Source organism: Homo sapiens, chromosome 1, assembly GCF_000001405.40.
Source record: "Homo sapiens chromosome 1, GRCh38.p14 Primary Assembly".
Lineage (NCBI taxonomy): Eukaryota > Metazoa > Chordata > Mammalia > Primates > Hominidae > Homo > Homo sapiens.
In genome coordinates this window covers 33,055,881-33,059,347 of record NC_000001.11, presented here as the reverse complement: position 1 = coordinate 33,059,347, position 3,467 = coordinate 33,055,881, and the positions used below count along the sequence as shown (strand labels likewise).

Sequence of the window (3,467 nt, the reverse complement as noted above, 5' to 3'; positions counted from 1 at the left end):
GCCACCACGCCCAGCCCAACAATCAAATATTCTAATATAACCCATATTCCTATCAAGGTTTTGAACATTTTCATTATGTCAGAACATTCTCTCATCCCCTTCCCAGTCAATTCCCCCTCACTCCAAGTAACTACTGACCTTATTTCCATCTCTATATAATCCACAGTTTTGCCTGGTCTAGAATGTGATAACATTGGAATCATAGAGTATGTACTCTTTTGTGTCCAGCTTCTTTTGTTCTGCATAATGATTTGAGATTCATCTATGTTGTTGTGTATCAATGGTTCATTTCTTTTGATTGTTAAGTTAGGCACTCCCACCTTTGTGTGGTTCTCACCCTTATTAAATGTGCCCTGTAACATGACATCTGGCAGTTAACTCTTCATTTCTACTTCTACTAGACTGTGACCTACTAGACTGTGACCAACTCAAGGACAGAGGTTGTATGTATCTCATTTATTTCTGGGTCCCCAACATGAGCTCAGTGCCTGGAAGGCAGTAGACCTGGGAACTGTCACATCCTGGAATTTGGGAGTTGGCTTGATGGGAAGTAGGGGACTGCAGGGAGTTGAGGGGCACTGACAGGACACCTGATCACTGGGGCTGGAAATCACTCCAAGACCCACCATTCACAGGCCCCATGAGCTCAGAGGGCTCTCCAACCAGAAGTTCCAGGACAGAGAGGGGGTTCCAGCCCAATAAACACAGAGTGGGCAGTGAGTCCACAGCTGTTACTCTAGGGCTCGGTCTTCCGGCCACTGGAAAACTCACCAACTGGGGACGGGCCTGAAAAGAAAGTAAAAATCGATTTTCTCTCACTTGTTTCTCTTCCCCTTTCACCCAGAGGGTGCACCTGACAACTAGACCCAACCGTCTGGCAGAGTTTGAAGCCCCTGCCCCCTCCAGCCCCACCCTCTCATGCTGCTCACACTGGCCCCACCCTCAGCAGGGCCATGAGGATATGAGGGTTGAGGCTCCAACACCTGCAGGCTTTCTGGAATCCCAGAAGCCCTAAAGCATAGACTTAGGGGTCAGAGCTGGCACTGAGTTCCTGCTTTACCACCCTCTGGTTGTGTGGCCTTGGCCAGATTACTTCCTCCTCTGTAAAACAGGGCCATAATTCCAGCTAGCAGGGTAGGTAAAGGGCTACTTACCTGACGGAAGTAGAGGGCTAAGTGCTGTGGATGGCAGAGAAAGGATGGGGTGACTTGGTGGTGGGAGGAGCCTGTGAGACCTTCCGTGTTTTTCCAGAAAGGTAGAATTAGCACCAGAGGGCCAGGCGCGGTGGCTCATACCTGTAATCCCAGCACTTTGGGAGGCCAAGGCGGGCGGATCACCTGAGGTCAGGAGTTCAAGACCACTCTGACCAACATGGCAAAGCCCTGTCTCTACTAAAAATACAAAAATTATCTGGGCATGGTGGTGCATGCCTGCAATCCCAGCTACCTGGGAGACTGAGGCAGGAGAATCGCTAGAACCCGGGAGGTGGGGGCTGCAGTGAGCCAAGATCACACCACCACTGCACTCCAGCCTGGATGACAGAGCAAGACTCCATCTCAAAAAAAAAAAAAGGCCGGGCACAGTGGCTCACGCCTGTAATCCCAGCACTTTGGGAGGCCGAGGCGGGCGGATCACGAGGTCAGGAGATCGAGACCATCCTGGCTAACACGGTGAAACCCTGTCTCTACTAAAAATATTTTTAAAAAATTAGCCGGGCCTGGTGGCAGGCACCTGTAGTCCTAGCTACTCGGGAGGCTGAGGCAGGAGAATGGCGTGAACCCGGGAGGCGGAGCTTGCAGTGAGCCGAGATCGCACCACTGCACTCCAGGCTGGGCGACACAGCAAGACTCCGTCTCAAAAAAAAAAAAAAAAAAAAAAAAAAAGAATTAGCGCCAGAGTCCACAAATGAGAACAAAAGCTGAGAAATGCTCCACCTTCCAAGCTCAGAAGCTCCCCTGAAGGGTTGATAGGAAGTGCTATTTCAGCAGAACTAGCACTATGTAGTGCTGTTCTATGCAGGAGCTATGCAGGGCTTGTGAAACGAAGCCATCTGTCCCTGTCTCCCTCAGGGTAGGGCAGGCAATTCCCCCAAGACAGGTTTTGCAATATGACCTTTTTACTTTGTCAAGGGGACCAGTCAAATTCTCCTCCTGGCCTTGGTGACTGCTACTAACCCAGAGAATGCAGCAGAAGTTACAATGCACCATTTCTCAGGCTAGGCCAAAAGAAACCTTGTAACTTCTTCCTTGGTCTCTTAGAAAGCTCAGTTTACAGGCACTCATTTTTGGTACCCAGGTGCTATGCTGTGAGAAGCCAAGCCACATGGGGAGGCCACGTTTAGGTTCTCCAGGTGACAGTCCCAGCTCAGGCACTGGTCATGTGAGTGAAGCAACCTCCAGGTGATTCCAGCCCCCAGCCATTTGAGTCTTCCCAGCTAAGGTCCCAGACATCATGGCGCAGTGTATTAGTTATGCACTGTTGCATGGCAAGTTACCCCCAGAATGTAACAGCTTAAAACAATAAATATTTATCATCTCACACAGTTTCTGATAGTCAGGAATCCAAGAGTAGCATATCTGGGTGATTCTGATTCGAGGTCTCTCATGAAATTGCAGTTAAGCTGTCGGCAGGGCTGCAGTCATCTACTTTCTCTGGGGCCAGAGGATCCATTTCCAAGCTCATTCATGTGGCCATTGGCAGGAAGCCTCAGTTCCTCTCCAGGTGGGCCTCTCCATAGAGGCAGCTGGCCTCACAACACGGCACCTGGCTTCCCCAAGGGAGTGATCCAAGAGACAGAGAGGCAGAAGCCACAATATCTTCTTTTTTTTTTTTTTCTGAGACAGAGTCTTGCACTGTCACCCAGGCTAGAGTGCAGAGTGGCACAATCACAGATCACTACAGCCTCTACCTCCTGTGTTCAAGCAATCCTCCTGCCTCAGCCTCCCAACTAGCTGCGACTACAGGTGTGAGTCATTGCACCGGCTAATTTTTTTTTTTTTTTGAGACGGAGTCTCGTTCTGCACCGGCTAATTTTTAAAAATTTTTTTGTAGATACAGGGTCTCCCTATGTTGCCCAGACTGGTCTCAAACTCCTGGCTTTTCTCAATCAAGTAGAAGCGATCCTTCTACCTTGGCCTCCCCAAGTGCTGGGATTATAAGTGTAAGATACCGCGCCCAGCCTCACACTATCTTCCACAACCTAGCTTCAAAAGCGACATACTATCACTTCTGCTATGTTCTATTGGTCACACAGACCAACTGATATGGTGTGGCAGGGGACTACACAAGGGGGTGAATACCAGGGGGGAGGGGACTTTGAGAGCCATCTTGGAGGCCACCTACCGTAAGCAGAGACCAGTCATCCCCACTGTGCCTTGTGAAACTCCTGACCCACAGATTCCATGACCATGATGAAATGGTGATTGTGTTATACCTCGAAGTTGAGGCTGATCCGTTAGTTACACAAG

The 3,467-nt window shown here is 49.6% G+C and overlaps 1 long non-coding RNA gene across 1 annotated transcript; it reads right to left on the bottom strand.

The window, feature by feature from the left end:
* Nucleotides 1–441: 441 nt before the first annotated feature.
* On the bottom strand, nucleotides 442–2,844 carry LOC124903969 (uncharacterized). The gene is made up of 2 exons (XR_007065697.1): nucleotides 2,540–2,844; nucleotides 442–786 (listed from the first exon to the last, which is right to left on the bottom strand). It is a non-coding gene; the product is annotated as an uncharacterized LOC124903969 (long non-coding RNA).
* Nucleotides 2,845–3,467: the final 623 nt, after the last annotated feature.